This window comes from Homo sapiens, chromosome 17, assembly GCF_000001405.40.
Source record: "Homo sapiens chromosome 17, GRCh38.p14 Primary Assembly".
NCBI classification, from domain to species: domain Eukaryota; kingdom Metazoa; phylum Chordata; class Mammalia; order Primates; family Hominidae; genus Homo; species Homo sapiens.
This window is the reverse complement of record NC_000017.11, coordinates 79,469,344-79,487,103: the sequence shown is the minus strand read 5'-3', so window position 1 is coordinate 79,487,103 and position 17,760 is coordinate 79,469,344. Positions and strand designations below refer to the sequence as shown.

The following is a 17,760-nucleotide window of genomic DNA, read 5'->3' as shown; positions in this document are numbered from 1 at the left end:
TTCCCTCCTCTTCCCTCCCTCGGTCTCTCTCACTCCTTCTGCTACCTCCCTCTCCCTTTGTGTATCTGCTTATTTTTTGATAGAGGACACTTTATAGCAGTCCAGATGTTTGTTTTTCTATCTTCTCTTTCCAATGACAAGAATCTGAGAGGAGACCTTTTGGGGCCAGAGCACCAGGGGCTGCCCCAGTCTCGTGCTGCCTCGGGAGCAGTGCTGGCTGGTTCTGCAGCAGGTTGAAGCAGCCAGGCTGAGAGCTGCGAAGAGGAAACTGGCCAGCTGCAGATGCGGGCACAGGAGTCTTTAAAATCCTTCTCTGAGACTGAGGCCCCCCTCCAAGCCCCAGGGCACAGCCCTCACCCTTTGTAGGACACTCCTCATGCTTCCCAGCTCTTCTGGGGGCCCTGCCACCCATAGCCAGCCTTCTGGGGATGCTTAAGCCTCTCCCTGGACTCCTTTATTATTTGGGGGCCCTGTCATTAAAGCAAGAGGATTAGATCCTGAGGAAGCAGGTGGAGGGTAGGGTCCAGGATGGCCCGTCTGTGCTCGTGTGCATATGTGAGCATATGTGCACGCATATGTGTGTGTAGGGGACAGGATGGGATCTCAGAATTCCCCAACTGACCTCCCAGAAGAAGGGGAGTTGAGGAGGCTGCAGGGGCTTTTCCCCTTGAAGGTCAACAGTGGGGTGTCCCTGTGTGCTCTGCTGTGCTCTGAGCACTGCACTCAGCGCATGGTGAGGGGCAATAAATACAGGTCGGAGAATGAGGAGGACACAGCTCACTCCCGAGACAGACTGGACCCTTTTGTCCCCAGGAAGTGGGGGAATGGTAGGCTGTGGCCTCGACCAGGCCCCGCCCACCCTGGTCCCTGCCACTGCGCCCTGAGAAGCCACCTGCAGCCCAGCCCAGCCCCCAACTACGCTCCCAACCCTGCCGGGCTGCGGGGCCTAGAGAGCCGTCAAGGGTACTTGGTCACTGGGCCTTTTGCCTCCCACCGTGGTTCCACTCCTTCTGCCAGCCACAAGCCTGGGGCGAGCCCTGAGGTCCCCTAAACCCCGCAGCACCAAGGGGTGGGGCGTGGGGTACAGGAGCGCACGCGGAGGGGGCCATAGGCCCGTGTTCTGCGCTATGGATGATGGATGGTGTTTCCCACTGCGGAGTGGGGAAAAACATGCCATTACAATCGGGGACAAGCTGTTAAGTTATCTCCCACTCAGCTCGGGTCAAAACAAAACCAGGCTGGGCCTATCGGTGGGGCTAGGATGCAGCGCCTTCGCCTAGCCGGCGGCAGAGGAGGGGTGCGGGGCGCCAAGGAGGCTCGAGCGCAGGCAGGGGTGGCTGCCCTGAGGCTGATCCCTGCCCTCCGGACTCGGCGGCCTGTGGATCGCTCGTGTCTCCATCTTCTAAGCCGGCGGCTGCAGACAGGGCTGGGTAGGACCAGTTAAAATGAAAATGAAATAATCTCCTGTGAGCTTGGCTTGCAAGGTGTGGTGGAGAAGTGTGGGGCTGCTGGGGGCACCGCCTTCAGCTCAGCCTCTGGGGGGATGTGGAATCTAGGCTGGATGGGGGAGGAGCAAGAGCAGCACCTAGAGAAGGCGGCCTGGGTTTCAGGCATGACACTTAAAGATTTCTGTGCTGGGGAGGGGAGCAGTGGGGTTGGAGCTTCTCTTGGGTTCTTTCATCACATCTCCCGACCCTGTCTTTGCTCCCTCTAATTCCTCCCCCTCTCCTTCAAGGGTTTATGTTCCCTGGCCCTGGACTGGCTGCCAGGCTGGGCAGCATGGGTGTCCATGTGGCCCCAGGGGATGACTTGGGATCCCCAGGGATGGACTCTGTTTCCATTCCTTCCTGTGGGCGCCTCCCCTGCCAGGACTGCTCTGGGAAGGAGGGCTCCATCCGCCTCAAAGGCAAGAGAACTGACAAGTCAGGAAGGGTGAGAGCCCCGGCAGACAGCCCGCCTCTCCCCAGGCTCTCCTCTCGCCCAGGCCCTGGGCAGCCTCTGCTTTGGGGCTGGTGGGAGAGAGCAGCGGGGCAGGAGTCTCCCTGGACCACCTGCCTCCATCCTGGCTCTGGGAGCCCTGTCTGGGGAGGAGGTGATATTGAGAGTTAAAGCAAATGCTTGGGAATCGCCTCCAGGACCAGAAGTGTATCCTATTATCTCCCTGAAAGCCCCAAGGGGACCAGGGGAGACTTGAGGGCTTACAGAAACTTCTGCTTCTCCGGTCATTGGAACAGCTGGAAGCTGGGGCTGTGGGGGTGTGGACAGCAGGCTCAGAGGAGGCTAGGTGCAGATCTTCAGTTCCCCATGGACTTCCCTGCCCAGGGCCTGGTGCAGTGTGAGTTCTAGCCCTTGCCTTTTGTGCTCCTGCTGAGAATCAAGCACTTAGGTCGCAGAGAAGCCTGCCGCCTGCTTTCTCTCCCCACCAGGCCAGCCCCTTCCTGGAGCCCCTTCCTACCCAACCTGGGCTGCCTTCCACCTCCACCTGAGTCCTCTACCTCTGCACAGGCCCCCTGCACCCAGGCCCCTGCACCCAGGCCCCCTGCACCCAGGCCCCCTGCACCCAGGCCCCTGCACCCAGGCCCCCTGCACCCAGGCCCCCTGCACCCAGGCCCCTGCACCCAGGCCCCCTGCACCCAGGCCCTCTCCCAGCCACCTCCCTGGCTGCATTTCATCCATGGAACTGTTCCTATTACTTACACTTTTGCCATTGAAGAGTGGCTCCCACACCCAGCAGTGGGCACTGGGCTCTGTACCAATGGTCCCTGAAAGGGCAGATGTTCCCCAGGCATTGCTCCGGGGTTGCTGGGCTCTCTGTGATGCTGGTTCTGCTCTTCGGTTCTTCGGTATGGGGGTGGTACTCTGTCCAGTGACTGGATTTTAGGAAAAGAAACAAACTGGTAGATTTATTATTGTTGTGTGTTGCTGTTTAAAACTCCGTTGTGAAATTTCTGGGTGGTGCCAGTGGTGGGGGGGATTCAGGGAGACACAGCTCAGCCACTCCCTGGCCACCCTGATCTCATGACTCTGTCCCAGAGACAGTCTCTCAGGCTAATCAGAGTGGATCTCCTAAACCGTTTTTGTGTCCTGTCTGGCTGATGGCACACATACACTGTTTGGGTTGGAGTAAATTAAGCAAACAAGACTTCCCAGGCTTGGGTCTACCCCCTGCCAGCCCTCACCAACTAAACAAACAGAATCCTTCAGTCCCCTCCATATCCCGGGAATTCCTGCTCTCCGGTGTGATCGTGGGATATGATTCTAAATAAACCCAGAAGTATTAATGGGGGAGTAACTTTTGTGGGTTCATTCATTCATTCATTTACTTATCCACTCAGAAGAATACGGAGTGAGCCCCAGCTATGTGCCAGGCACATCCTGGGCACTGGGGATTCAGCACTAAATCCAGCCGTTGTGGATGCCTGCCCTCAGGGAGCCTGCATTCCAGTGGAGGCAAAGTGGGATGGCGGGATCCAGCACATCCGCATGAAGCCAGATGTGCTAAGTCCCTGGGGGGAAATTCGTGGGGAAAAGGAGAAGGAAATGCCATAGGGATGCTGGTTATTTTGATGGGGTGTTCTGCTCCTGGATGGCCTTGGAAAGGTGCCATATGTGCACAGCTCCGAGGCAGGTAGGCAGGCAGGCAGGGAGGGAGGGAGGGAGGGAGGCCTGCAATTGTGCAGGGAAGAGCATTCCATGCAGTAGACCTGCAAAGGTGTGGTGCAGGGGTGGGGTCGGGGAGGCATGCGCCTGTGTGGAGGGATGGCCAGGAAGCCAGTGGGGCTGCAGGGGAGAGAGGGAGTATACTAGGAGAGGGAGCCAGACTGCCGAGAGCCCCAAAGGCAAAGGGGGTTGACCGTGAAGCTGTCTATGAGCGCACGGCCCCCATGTGAGACCTCGTATGTTATTTTCTTAGGAAGTCCCCAAATCACAGAAGCCAGATTCACCTGGCTTGCAGGCCACTGAAGCAACTTTAAGTGTTTCTTCCAAATGACACAGGACACCAGTGGAAGGCTGTGTCACCAGATCAGGACAGTGACATCATCTGATGAATATTTTTAAAAGAGAGGGACAAAGTAGCTGGGAGAGTGCGGACAGTGGTGGGTCCTGGAATCTAGGCTGGGTGGGGGAGGAAGCAAGAGCGGGCGGTAGTGGGAAAGGCGATGGGGAGGGGCCAGCGTGGTGGGGTGGAAGAGTCCCTGGGATTGGGGGACCATTGCAAGCGGGCTGGGAGAGGGGCGGACCCTGGGATGGACTGCACGGTGGCTGTTTGGCAATAGGGTCCTAATGATGTGTTTTCTGCAAGTTTCCTTTTACTCCCCTGGGGCATAAAAAGCAAAGTGCCCTTTGGAGGGTGCTGATCCCTCAATCCCTCGATCCCTGGTGGCAAACAGTTGGCTTTGAAGCTGCCCCCTCCCTGGTTTATTAATACCAAATGTTTGTTTTAGATCAAAAGGAAGATGTTTTCTTCAAAGGCAATTTTTTTACTTGCTTTTTTCCCCCTGCAGGTTGAAATTCTGCCTCTGAGAAGCTAACAGTCTTCCTGTGGTCGCCACTCCTCCCCAGCAGCCCCCTCCTTGCCAAGGACGGTCCAGAAGGAGCCCCACTGGGGCCTCCCCGCTCAGCAAAGCAGACCTCACCTCCCACTACCAGGTAAGGCGGCCCCACCTGTCCGCCATGCCCATCCCCAGAGTTTGCATTTGTGGAGGAAATACGTTTTAATGCGGTGATTTGATTTTCCAGCAAGGGTTGTGGGGTAGGGGCGTTCTGTGCTGCTCTCTATAGCTTTCAAGTCATGGTGTCTTTGTGGAGTAGGAGGGGGAACATCGACGGACGCCCAAGAAGGTATGGGGTAGAATTTTTAAGGAGTGACCGCTCTTTGTACCTCGAAGCCCATCAGCCTGGCTGCGGGGCAGTTAGTCCTGGAAGGAGGGTGGGCGGGGTGTGGGGTCCACTGTCTGGTGTCAACAAAGATGCCATAGAGTCCAAAGTCAGGGCCTGACCCTCCCCTGCACGGTTCGTGTTCTGCTGCCCAGATTGCTCCGCGGCTCAGGGAGGGCCCTGAAGCCTTCCTGTGGCTCTAGAGGGGACGGCATGATGCCTCTGTTCCCACCCCGAGAGGGTGACTGCCGTTCAGCTCTGACACTAACCGCCGGAGTCAGCGTCAGACTCCACAGGGTTTGGGCCAAGTGCTCTGTAAGATGGCTCTCACTTCGAATGCAAGCTGCCAGGGTCACCTGCACTTGTGACCAGTGGCAAATTCAGAGGTTCCCAGGACCCCTCAGTTTTGATAATTTGCTACAGTTCACAGAACGACAGCAACAAAAAAGCACTACACTAAAAATGACAGTTGTATGACAGTCGTATGATACACACAGGTTGAGTTCGGAGCATCCACACCCATTCCCCATGGTGTTAGGATGCACCACCCTGCTGGTTCACCCACAAGTTCACCAACCGCAAGCTCCCCGAGCCACGTGACTGAGCTGTCTCTAGCCCTCTCTGCTCCCCTGAGGTGGGGAGTGAAATTTCCAACCCTCTAATCACGTGCACGGCCAGCCTCACACTTGAAGCTTCCTACGGGTCCCTGTGAGTTGCCAGGTCAGCACACGGTCAGGTGTGGTCAGGAGTGGCTTTTTATGAATAACAGAAGACACTCCTATCCCTTGGAAACCCCAGCAGTTTTAGAGATCACCTCCCAGGAACCAGGGACAGACACCAGGTGAATTCTTTCTTAAACCCCCATGAGGTTCAGTGCAGCCCCATTCCCTGCTGATAGACAATGCAAAGCTGTGGGTCAGCGACCCCCAGGCAGGGAGGACTGGAGCCCTGAAGCCTGCAGGCAGGCTTTGCATGATGACCCACTGTAGGCTGAGCAGATGATGCCGACGAGAACCCTGGACAAAGAGACCAGAGGCCCGGACACAGGCTGGTCTCTCCAATACCCATCAAAAGATGCTCTTTCCAGAGTTTGCAGAATTGGAAGTCTCTATGCACAGTCTGGGTGCTTCTCCAGGCGTGCACTGCTTGCTTCTCTCTGGTGAAGGCCATGGGTGCTCTTCTCTGCTCCAGGGCTCCTTGGGGTCTTCTTGCCGTAGCTCATCCATCCAGACTGCCCTACATTGTTCATTCCACAACCTTGAGCCCCCGATGTGCTGAGCCCTGTTTGGGGTGCTGGAGACGCAGTGGAGACAAGGTCAAGTTCTGGCCCTCATGGTGTTTATATTTTAGCAGGGACATGGCGAATAAATGTATGTCAGGCGCCATAACGCTGTGAAGATAAATGCAGTGCATTAAGACCACGGGGAATGGTGGGGGCTGCAGTTGCCCAGGACAGAAGGGCAGGCCCCGGTGCTGATGTTGTGAGCCAAGACAGAAGGAAGGGAGGGAGGACCCCAGGATGTCTGAGGGGAGAGTGTTCCAGACAGAGGGAATGGCCAGTGCCAAGGCGCCGAGGCAGCAACGTGTGGGCATGCTGGAGAAGTAGCAGGAGGGGCTGGCATCACGGGGTCCGGGGGCTGTGCAGGTGGAGGAAGGAGATGACGAAGAGGGTCCAGGGCTGGATGCAGAGGCCTTTAGGTTGGGACTGAGGACTTTGGATTTTGTCTTAAGGGTGGTGGGAGCCACTGCAGGGCTCTGAGTGAGGGATTGAATGGCCTGAGACATACAAAGGTGTCTCTGCCTTCTGTGAGGGGGACAGAGTGGAAGCAAGGGACAGCTGACGAGCGAGCCCACTGTCGCACTCTATCCCTGGGAGCACTGGCTCTGCCATGGACCCGGGAGGAGAGGAGTGGTGGATCTGGGCCCATGTCTGAGATAAACCCTTAAACAACTCCCCTCCTCTGCTGAAACGGCTGTCACCCCATTCCGTAAACCATCAGGGGCCCCCTCGGGGAGCCCAGATAGGAAGGCCACACACCCCAGCCTGTATGGGACAGAGAAGCAGCAATGTGACTGTTTAGAGGGCAGGAATCCCACTGCTCTTTCTGGCTCTTTCTGTCCTGGGGCTCCCTGCAGTGTCGCTGTGAAGGCAGCACTGGTGTGCCATCCACTACGGCTCCTGGTCAGGTCGCTCTGTGCCAAGATCACTGTGCTTGCAGGCTGTCTGAGAAAATGAGTATAGGGCACGAGGTTTGGGGCTGGCCTCAGTGCAGGACGAGAGACCCCCTGAGATCATGCTCTGTCTCTGGAACCTCAGACGCCTAGTTCCAAGAAGATGCGTGCAGCTCTGTCCCTAGGGGAGGGCCCTGACGTACAGACATCCTGCAGGCCGTGACGGTAGCACCATCTCCCATGCTCCTCTGAAAATGCCACTTCCTGCTGCCTCCAAGAAGGAGGTTGCGGGGCCCAGCCTCACCTTTCTGTGGGTCTGAGAACCTGTGTCCCCCAAATAGGTAAATCCTCGGGGTCATCAACAGTGAAAGTACAAGACCAGCCCACCCCCGAGGGAGCGTCTGGGAAGTCCAGGGTTGGTGGGGTCACCCCACAAGCTCTTTTGGACCTGAGCTGCTTCCCTCGGTGTGTTCACTGTCCAGCCCCTTGTTGATTCCAAAGGTGTGCTCTGAATTGTGAAGTGAGGAATCTGCCTTTCAGAGTCTTCCTTTTCTAAAAGGGTGAGGTCAAGGGGAGAGAAGGAAGCCCCTCTGAGAGGAAGCCCCTCAGAGCAAGGAGCAATGCAGTCTGAGGCCTGCGTGTGGCTTTGAATCTCTGCCTGTCTTTTATTCACCTTCAGGATGGTGGATGGCGGGTGTCTGAAGGAAGAGGGCCATGTACACACATCTGAGGTCAGGTGTGCCTGTAGACACCCTCCTGCCCCGCGAGCTCCTGGGTTCTCCCTGCAGCCTGGACATGGGCTTCAGAGAAGGGGCCGCCAAAACCACCCCTTGGGCTACCAGAGCTCTGGCATGTGGATGCCGTCCATGGCCCAAAGGAATGTGACTAGAGGAAGGGGCTTCCTAAGAGGGACTTGGAGAACAGTGATGGAGAAACCCGGGCAGGGAAAAGCCTGCAGGAGCTTTTGCCCCAGTGAGGCGGGCTGGCCTTTCTGATTCAGGAATGGCCTTGGCAAGGAGCCCTTCGACCGAGACTCCCCATCACTGCAGGCGAGTCCTTGCTTCAAAGGAGAGTGTGGGGAGGAAGCAGTTTCCTCCTAGGACATTGCCTCAGCCCTGGTTCATTGCCTCTGCCTCGGAAAGGGTCCTGTCAATTAGATCCCGTTTTAAAGCTCATCCCTTTAACTATGGATTCAATTTGGGTTTTACTGTATAGTAAATTCTAAGTCCTTATTAAAAACATGGATGCTGCAAAACGAGATTTGTCTGTTACATGCAGTGGCTGAGGCCTGGAGCAGATGGGTCTTTCAGGTCCACAGGGAAGAGATGGGCCTGAGCAAAAACTCCAGAGGAGGGTCATCTGCTCCTCCAACCCTGACCCTTCCCTTCCTTTCCCCTCCCCTTCACCACTCTCATGGGATAACCTGAATTTTCCTAAACCACATTGCTGTTCGTTGTTGGGGTCACACAGAGGAGCCAAGGAATGTGGCCGGTTGTCTCTTCTCTAGATGTTTTTGGGGATGGGGGAGCATCTTTGTTCTGGAGCTGAGAGATAAACAAAGTCTTCTGCCCTGATGCAGACAGCATGAGATGGGAGCGGGTGCTGCCGCGCATGCCATGGGGCTGAGTGTGAGCCTGCCGTGATGAGATGGGAGCGGGAGCTGCCGCACACGCCATGGGGCTGAGTGTGAGCCTGCCGTGGTAGTGCAGCTTACACTATCCAAACTCATCCATCCACCCCGGCCCCCACCCTCAGGGACGCACCCATGAGCGGCAACACATGACTTCCCATAAATCATCTCCAAATGAGCGTGCTTCCTGCACTCATCCATCACGCCCGTCTCTTGTCTGCTTGTTTTTAAAAGCTGTTAAACTGGAATCCATCACACGGGGAGCATGGCACCCTTGAGGGCTGAGCCGAGACACAGGCTGCCCGCATGAGCCGTGGGAACGTGCGTGGGGCTTCCTGGAGCACATGAGCGTTGCTTGGCAGCGGGGAGAGGGGGATCATGGCTTCATTTAGTTATACCAGAAGCGGATGGGACGTTGCTCCCAGGCTTGCAGTGAATGCATTCCTTTTGCAGGAGCTCGTCCTAGGTGCTCCTGGGTGGAACAGGCGGTGCCCAGCTGAAGGACGTTGCTGGGGTCTCTCCTTCCTACAGGGGCATCTTATTTCCTTCTTGGATCCAATATTTTAATGAGAAGACTTTAGTTTGAGCCAGTCTTTGGAGACTTGGGTCCTAAAAACTTCTGTGATTCCTTTTCTATTAAGAAATGTATTTGGAAAATATTTAGGAAGGATGCCAGGCTCAGCCACTTCAGTCCCTCATTCTGATCCTGCCTAATTCTGCCACCCTGCCCCTTTGCTTGTTCACCACCAGAGCAAGCTCTGAGGATGTCCCTGTGAGAAAGAGGACATGAGACAAGGACCTGGGGCCCCACTCCATTGCTTCTGTTTCACCCTTTTTTCCTACTCCTCCTCCTCTTTTTTTTTTTCCGGTGACGGAGTTTCGCTCTGTCGCCCAGGCTGGAGTGCGATGGGGCGATCTCAGCTCACTGCAAACTCCGCCTCCCGGGTTCACGCCATTCTCCTGCCTCAGCCTCCCAAGTAGCTGGGACTACAGGCGCCCGCCACCACGTCTGGCTAATGTTTTGTATTTTTAGTAGAGACGGGGTTTCACCGTGTTAGCCAGGATGATCTCGATCTCCTGACCTCGTGATCCACCTGCCTTGGCCTCCCAAAGTGCTGGGATTACAGGTGTGAGCCACCGCGCCCTCTTTTTTTTTTTTTTTTTTTAATTTATCTTTATTTATTTTTTTTTGAAACGGAGCCTTGCTCTTTCACCCAGGCTGGAGTGCAGTGGCGCGATCTCAGCTCACTGCAACCTCTACCTCCTGGGTTTAAGAGATTCTCCTGCCTCAGCTTCCCGAGTAACTGGGATTACAGGCGCCCACCACCACGCCTGGCTAATTTTTGTATTTTTAGTAGAGACGGGGTTTCACCCTGTTGGCCAGGCTGGTCTCGAACTCCTGACCTCAAGTGATCCACCCACCTAGGCCTCCCAAAGTGCTGGGGTTACAGGGTGAGCACCTTCCTCCTCCTCCTTTTCTTCTTCTTCCTCTTCCGTCTCCTTTTCCTCTTTCTCCTCTTTCTTCTTTTTTCTCTCCCCCTACTTCTTTCCTTTCTCATTCCCCCTCCTCTTCCTCCTTCTCTGTCTCTGTCTGTCTCTCTCTGTCCCCGCCACCCCACTGAGGAATTGTGTGCACTTCAGGCTTTTCTGCACTTTCTTTTCCAGACCCCCTAATTCTGCCACCCTGCCTCTGCCTATCCTCTCTATCATCTGGTTCCTTCTCTGCAGTTCTGGTGACTTGGCAGTCACCACTTACCCCTCACAGGGGTCGGAGAGGAGATGAGAAGACATCAGAGATGCCTTATCCCCTCTTTCCTTTCCCCTTCAAGGGGAAACATGTGGCTGGAATCCTTCACACGCCCTGAACTGACTGGCGTGGGGTTTGCCTCCAAGAACTCTTTGTCTCTAGACAGATGTCACAGACCTCAGTGGCATTTGTGATATTTTGTCCCATCTGCTTTTGGCTTTGCCTCTATCCTTTTCTTTGCCCTATACTTGTTGGCTGAAGGATAAAACTGCTTTTTGGCACTGGTGTGACATTTTTTAAAAAAATAGAAAAACGGGCCAATATTTTTCCTTGGTGACTTTAGAGCTCTGTGAGTGAGCAGCGGAGGAGACTGGGCGGGTCGCAGAGGGCGCTGTGGGCGAGTTCCCCAGGACACCGCTCCCAATTAGAGCCCATTAGTCACTCCGTGTGTTAAAGCATTAAGAACAATTAAGGGTGAGAAGAGCTTCCAGATGTAGTTCCAGCGCTGGAGCGGGAAGGGAGGGCCCTGCCGCTGCTCCCCAGATGGAAATAATCCAAGGAGAGGAGCCAGCAGGGCCTGGTCCTCAGGGTGTCAGTGGCCCCCAGAGCACAGGGTGTCAGGTGCAGCCCCCAGGACAGTCAGCCTGGCCAGTGGGGCTGGAAATTCAGATCATCTGGGTCGGTGTCCCGTGACTGCCATCACAGAATGCCACAGACTGGGTGGCTTCTCACGATAGCTCTTCGTTCTCACCAATTCCTGGAGGCCAGGATCCAAAATCAGGAGGGCAGCGGGGTTGCTTCTCAGGGAGAAACTGTCCCACACACGGAGGCCTTTCTCCTGGCTCTGGGGGCCACTGGCCATCCTCTGTGGGCCTTGGCTTATAGATGCACTGTCAGTCCAGTCTCTGCCTCCATCATCATGAGGCAACCCCACCCCCATGCCTGTGTATCCTGTCGCGCACGACCTTCCTGTGTGTGTGTGCATTTGTGTGTGTACATGTGTGCACGCATGCATGTGTGTGCACCTGTGTGTTCTCATTCCCCTCCTCTTCTAAGGACACCAGTCATTGGATCGGGGCCCACCTCTTACCTTCATCACATCTGCAAAGACCTTATTTCCAACTAAGGCCACATTCCCAGGTCCTGGGGGTTAGGGCTGGAACATGTTTTGGGGGGACATGATTCCACCCACTGTATCCTCCAAGGCTGCCAGGGAGGAAGATGAACCCAGGCACTATGACTCTACAGCCCACGACTCATCCTGAGGTGTCCCCTGACCCTCGGCCCTGATCTCACCCAGACACTGAGATGCTCTGGAAAAGAACCATCCCTTGGCTGATTTTAAGACAATGATAAGAAGGTATGCAGGCTGAGCGGTAAAACCAAGGCCAGAATGACTGGAGCTGTAAGAGTGGACATTGGAAGAACCCCAGGACCCCAGGTCAGAAGGCCGTCCACAGACCTAGTGGAGAGGGAGGCACCTGGAACGATGAGCTGAGATCATTCTCTGTCCCCCACCCACTTCCCACCTCCCACTGCTGAGATCGGACTTGAGAACAAACTAAGAATTAAAAGCCAGACCCCAAATCTAAACCTAAAAATAAACAGTTCGTGCTGCAAGTTTTGGGCGCACACTTTTGTCACAGGAGAGAGAAACTGGAGTCTTGCTCTGCCTGTGGGAGAGGGAGGCGTTGTAGAGCTGGGCCAGGAGAGGGGAGCCTGTGAGGTCTCTCCAGGGGGCTCTTGAGGTGTGGAAGGAATGAATTGGAAGGAAAGGTAGGAGTCAGGCCCAAGAAACAGAGGGAAAAAGAGACCTCTGGGGAGAGAGGGATGTGGACACATTTTTGGGTGGGCACGGGTGCTGAAGTTAGTGATGCGTGGGGCTCTGGTGGTGAGGCAGGCCAGTGGGCGGGCAGCAGGGACTGAGTCAGGTGGTGATGGTGGAGGTAAGAGTCCAGGGCTGGGGGAGACCCATGAGGACTTTAGGAAAAGGAACTAATGGCACCAGGGAATGAGGGGGAATGGAAGCAGAAAATAGATCCTGGGTACACGCTGCACTGAAGTTCACGGATACAAAAGTCAAATGTGAGTGAGGTGACCTTCTGCACAGACTTTGCTCCCTGTGTTCCCTCTGCATGCACAGCCCATCCTCCTCTGAGATGCTGAGTCCCCCAGCGATAAGGGCTGTGTCTTCAGTGAGAGCCAATAAATGATTGTCACCATCCGTTGAGGGAAAGGAGGGTTAGTCCTCGTGTTCCAGGATGGTATATCGACACCTGTGCAAGCATGATCCAAACAGACCCTGTCACACAGAAGTAACTGCAGAACTTGTGACTGCATCGTCACAGAGATATTCTGGATGGAGAAACATGAGAAGGTTCCACATGAATCTGTATAAATCCATATGTTTTAGATTCAAAATGATCAAGGGCCACCAGGGACGTGAGTCAACGGCATCCAAGAGCCTAAGTGGTTCTTGCTGGCCTCATTCTTAGATGGGACCTGGGGCTGAGGCCCCTCGATGTGATTCCGGAATTTCTTCATTTTTTTTTTTTTCTGCATTGACACGTGCATTCCTCAGAGGGGGTTGCCGGTGAATTCCATGGCAAAGGTGAATGGACGAGTGAGGATTTGTATAGATTTGGAGAAAATTATTCTTTTACCCGATTTGCAAGGATATACAAAGTGTTTGCAGGATTGGTGCTTTCAAAGACATCTGTGTTCTGTGGGGGAAAGAACAGAAAAGGAGCGTCAGCAAATGCCTGAGGAAGGAAAATTAATTTAGAAGTAGAGGTCAAGGCAAGCCTAACTTTAGTTCTGCGTGTGTGTGTGTGTGAGTGTGTGTGTGTGCTTTTAGGAGGAGGAGAAAAATGGAGGCGGAACAGAATAATTTTTCTTTTTTCCTTTGGGGTGGGAGGGGAGATGGAGCTTGGACAGATGGTGTTTCTGAGTGACCTTGCATTGCTGAGCATTGCTGAGTAATGGCTGGAATTACAGGGAGCTTGCAGGGTGTGGCCACCTGCCGTCACCAGCGGGGGTTCATCAGGATGTCAACATTATGGGAGGGCCTGAAAGCAAGCAAAGATAAACCCAAGTTCAACAAAGATCAAATAATACACTCGTAACACAACTTCTTGTGGGAGGCATCTGTGTGCCTGGAGTGTCCAGAACAGTATGCAAGGCCTGGAAATCCATCAGGCTGACGTCCCTGAATGACACATGTGAGCAGGTTATCTTACCCGAGGTTCTCGTCCCAAAATATATATGAATCATCGTGAATCCTCACAACAGTTCCAACTCGGGCTCTGTGAGGAAGCTGAGCTGCAGATAAATGACCAACCCAGGGCCATACAGAATTCAAACCCACAGCAGCTCCCTAGCAACAGGCTGAGGACACGTCTCACATGACCCATATCTCAGCTACTCAAAGTGAGGTCTGTGGATGGGTGCCAGCCCGTGAGGTGCTGCTCCTGATCCCTGCAACTGAGTACAGAAGCTGAAATTAAGCATTTAGAATCTTTTAGTCATTTGAAGGAGTCGTTTTAGGTCTGATGAGTCTAATCGTTAAGAACCTGGGCTTTGTGTTTTGTATGCCTTCTTTATTCCATTTTTCTAGTGATTCTATTTTTATAGGTTTTCTAAAAACCAAAAGTAAGGGCTTGTCACTTCAACTACTCAGGAGGCTGAGGTGGGAGGATTGGTTGAGCCCTGGTGTTTGAGATCAGCTGGGCAGCATAGTGAGACCCTGTCTCAAAAAACAAAACAAAGAAACAAAAATGTAGGTCCAGAATGAATTGGAAATAAACCAATGAATCCTTCACCACAGATGGTTTGAGAAGTGCCGGTATAGAGGCCACACAGGTCAGATCACAGAACTTGTCACGTTTGAATAAGCTCTGCCACTGACCAACAGACCCAGGGCAGTGTCCTCGCTTGAGAATGGAGGGTGGTCATGAGATGTGGGAGGTGTGTGGTCGGCTTGGGCTGCCATGGTGAAGCCCCTCAGCCTGGGGGCTCACACAACAGAGGTTAATTTTCTCAAAATTCAAGAGGCCAGAAGTCTAAGATCAAGCTGTTGGCAGCATTGGTTTCCTTGAAGGCTTCTCTTTGGCTTGTAGATGGTCATCTTCTCCTTATGTCCTCACATGGCCGCCCCTTGATCTGTGCATGTCTGTGTCCTAATCTTCTTCTCTTAGAAGGACACTGGTCAGAGTGGATGAGGCCCACCCATATGGCCTGGTAAGGGTCCTATCTCCAAATACGGTCACATCTAACGTACTAGGGGTTAGGACTTCAATGTATGAATTTTGAGAGGGCATGATTCAGTCCATAATAGAAGGGTGCACGGGAATTTTCTGTACTATTTTTGCAACTTCCTGTGATTCTTAAATTATTTCAAAATAATTTAAGGACTACCACTCCCAACCCTCTGCCACCAGCTAGTACGACCACTGTGGTCTATCTCAGATGGGCCCCGTCAGGCACACTCATCATTCCAGGTTTGGGGGAGCTGCTCTCTGGGATGGAGGCCAAGTGGGCATGACCCAGAGCCCACCCCCACCCCACCTTCCTGCCCTCTGGTCCTGCACACCTGCAGAGGGCAGCTGGGCGGTCGTCGTCATCTGTGCATGGAGCTGCCTCTTTGGTCATGTCTCTTGTCACCTGTCCCCTTTTCTTTCTGGAGTTCCTTAAGGGCACAGGCTGCAACTTGTTTCTCCCACAGTGCTGCACATAGTAGGTTTCCATAAAGGGTTTTCCTGAGGCGTATTTGATATAATGTGCTTGGTGGAGATTTAGTCGCCTCTCTTGAAGTGTTCTCCCTCGACCCTGGAGAACGGTGGGATCCCGGGTCACACACGGGGCGCTAGGTGTGATGCAGGAGTGATGCATAGGGCTGGGATAGCTAACCTGCCTGCGTCCACCCAGGCTCTGCACACGCCCTGGCCATGGGGACACAGGCAGTGCTACTCACCTGACAACGTTCAGAGTCCTTTCTTGTTATAAAAAGCACTTTGGGTGATGACTGTCTTTTAAACACTGCAGTCCACGGAGAGGTGACAGGTGTGTGTGCGCCTTCCTTGTTTATGTCGTGCTCTTTGTAGCTGAGAAAGCTCACGCCTGTACCCACAGTACTGGGTAACTGGCGGCTGCCTCAGCCACCAAAACAAATGTCCCTCAGGCCAGGGGTGACCAGAGGTGGCGTTTGAATATTGTCTCTTGTCTGTGAGCCAGAATGTCATTGGATGGGTCATTATTCTAAACCATTCTGTTGCTCCAAAAGTTCCCAAGGCAAGGTCATCATGATTTTTGAATTATTTAGTATTTTGCCCGGCCCTGCACGCTCTTTGCAAAATGCTTTGCCCTCATTTCCCTGCGAATACCCCAAGCGTCGCACCCTGGCCAGTGCTGGTCACGTACCCCGCTTTCCATGAGCTGAGAGCCACGATGGCTGCTTCCCATGAGAGACCCTTCGTGTGTCCTGGCCTCTTCCAGCAGGAGGGGTGCTGGGGACCCAGGACTCACCTCCATTCTGCATTATGGATGTCAAGCATTGTCACTGAGGCCAGCAGAAAGCTTATTTTGACTGTCTATGAAGCAGTTAATTCTGTTTTTTCTCCTTCAGTGAATAGAAAGGAAGGGCTGGTTCTGCTGTTATTTTTTTCGTGGTGGTGCATCACAGAGCTAGAACATGCGTGCAGTGGGCTGTGCTCAGGCAAAGGGAGATTAAGTGGCCTGTCTTGGATGACAGAGAGGCACACAGCATTTCCCTGGAGGTATACATTTTCCCCGGAAGACTCCAGAAGAGAGGAAATATTAAACCTGTACCCCTGAGGGACTGGGCGTGTGTTGCCAGAAGGGGTCCAGAGAAAGGATGACATTTCTTTGAAGTCTTATTTGTTCTCTTAAAACTTCAAGCACATCTTACATTGAATCCACAATATGCTTGTGCTGGCTATAACCTGACAGTAATAGTTCCCCCAGACACTTTGGCTAGAACGGATACTTTGAGAGGAGGCACATGCGTGGGCTGTGTGGCCAGCCACCCTCATCTCACCTCTGCACACCCTTGGGGGCTGAGGGGGGTTCCCTAGCTTGAGAAGCACGTGGTAGGATGTTGGGGAAGGGATTCTAACCTTAGATGCATGTGTGTGCTGAGGGGTGGTTTGGAGTAGAAGAATTTTAATGCCACCTTCCTGTGAAATTTTATGAGACTCTGCTTATAATGTGGCGACATTTCACATGGGGAGCCAGTAGCCTCGGGGGGAGCTGTTGAGTGAAGACAGCCCTCCGTCCAGCCCTAGCCCACCCGCCAGCCTGTCTTATTTGCTGTTGACAGTCTTTACTCTTTCCCCTCTGTCCAGCAGAGTGGACACACGGCATTTTGGCCACCGGGGCCAGGATGATGTCCCAGGTACACACATGTGGGCCACTGGGGCTGCGGTGGTGTCTCCAGTAGTGATCTCCTGAGTTCAGGTGATATTGAAGCACACAACTATTCATTCTCCAACATTCGCAGGGCCCTTTTGGGTCTGGATCGGGGCCAGGGGCTGTGTGTGTGGAGCTGAACGTAAGGATGACACAAAGATGACCCATGACAGCCTCTCCTCCAAGGCACCTGTGGTCTGCAGGAGGCCCCACACGTGCCTACGACCCTCACCCTGGCTCTTGGTCACTCCTTGGAGCACACTGCCAGGGATGTGTTTTAGGGTGAGGAGCTATGGGCTGGAGACGATGAGATGGTCTTCCATCTCCATGCGTGCTCTCTCTCATGCACGTTCTCCATCATGCACGTTCTCCCTTGTGCACGTTCTCCCCTGTGCACCCTCTCCTCCGTGCACGTGCTCCCCCATGCGAGCTCTCCCTCATGAGCGCTCTCCTTCATGCGTGTTCTTCTGACTGCACGTGAGCAAGCTGCCCTCCCCATTACATTTAACTAGAGGTCCTTCCCTCTCTTAGCTCAGATCACCCCATCCTGGTGGAATGAGGGAGGCCAAACCTGTTTTTTGGGGTCCCACATCCAGTTGTGTGCAGCTGTGGGTGGAGGGAGGGAGTCTGGTCTGGCAGGCTCATTGTGGCACCTAAAGGGTGGTGGGGTGGGGCATGTGCCATAGGGAGATGTGAGGTGCGAGCAGGTGGTCAGCTGCTTACCTGCAGGACAGGGGACAGGGACGGCACAGGGAATGTAGGCACAGGGCAGTTGTCCAGGCTGGAGCGTTAGGCAGGACCAGGCGCCCTGACGTGGAGTGGGGTCCTCTCCACACACATCCCTGTTTCAGGTCAGGTCTGGTCCCTGGTGCCTGGATTCCCAGGACTGCATGGGCGGCCAAGGGGC

The 17,760-nt window shown here is 54.1% G+C and overlaps 1 protein-coding gene across 55 annotated transcripts in view, besides 1 other annotated feature; it reads left to right on the top strand.

The window, feature by feature from the left end:
- Nucleotides 1-17,760, top strand: part of RBFOX3 (RNA binding fox-1 homolog 3) — a 576,227-nt gene that overhangs the window by 178,468 nt on the left and 379,999 nt on the right. For 54 of the 55 annotated variants that reach the window (NM_001385807.1, NM_001385838.1, XM_047435405.1 and 51 more), the window contains one exon: nucleotides 4,506-4,650. The gene's annotated coding sequence lies outside the window, so the exon portion shown is untranslated. The remainder of the gene's footprint in view (nucleotides 1-4,505; nucleotides 4,651-17,760) is intronic. The other variant, NM_001385842.1, reaches the window with a different exon arrangement.
- Nucleotides 13,283-13,577: an enhancer, noted in NCBI's record as "tiled region #4769; K562 Activating DNase matched - State 5:Enh". NCBI's record gives its function as "activates a minimal TATA promoter and a strong SV40 promoter by Sharpr-MPRA in K562 cells {active_cell/tissue: K562}" and the evidence as "EXISTENCE:reporter gene assay evidence [ECO:0000049][PMID:27701403]".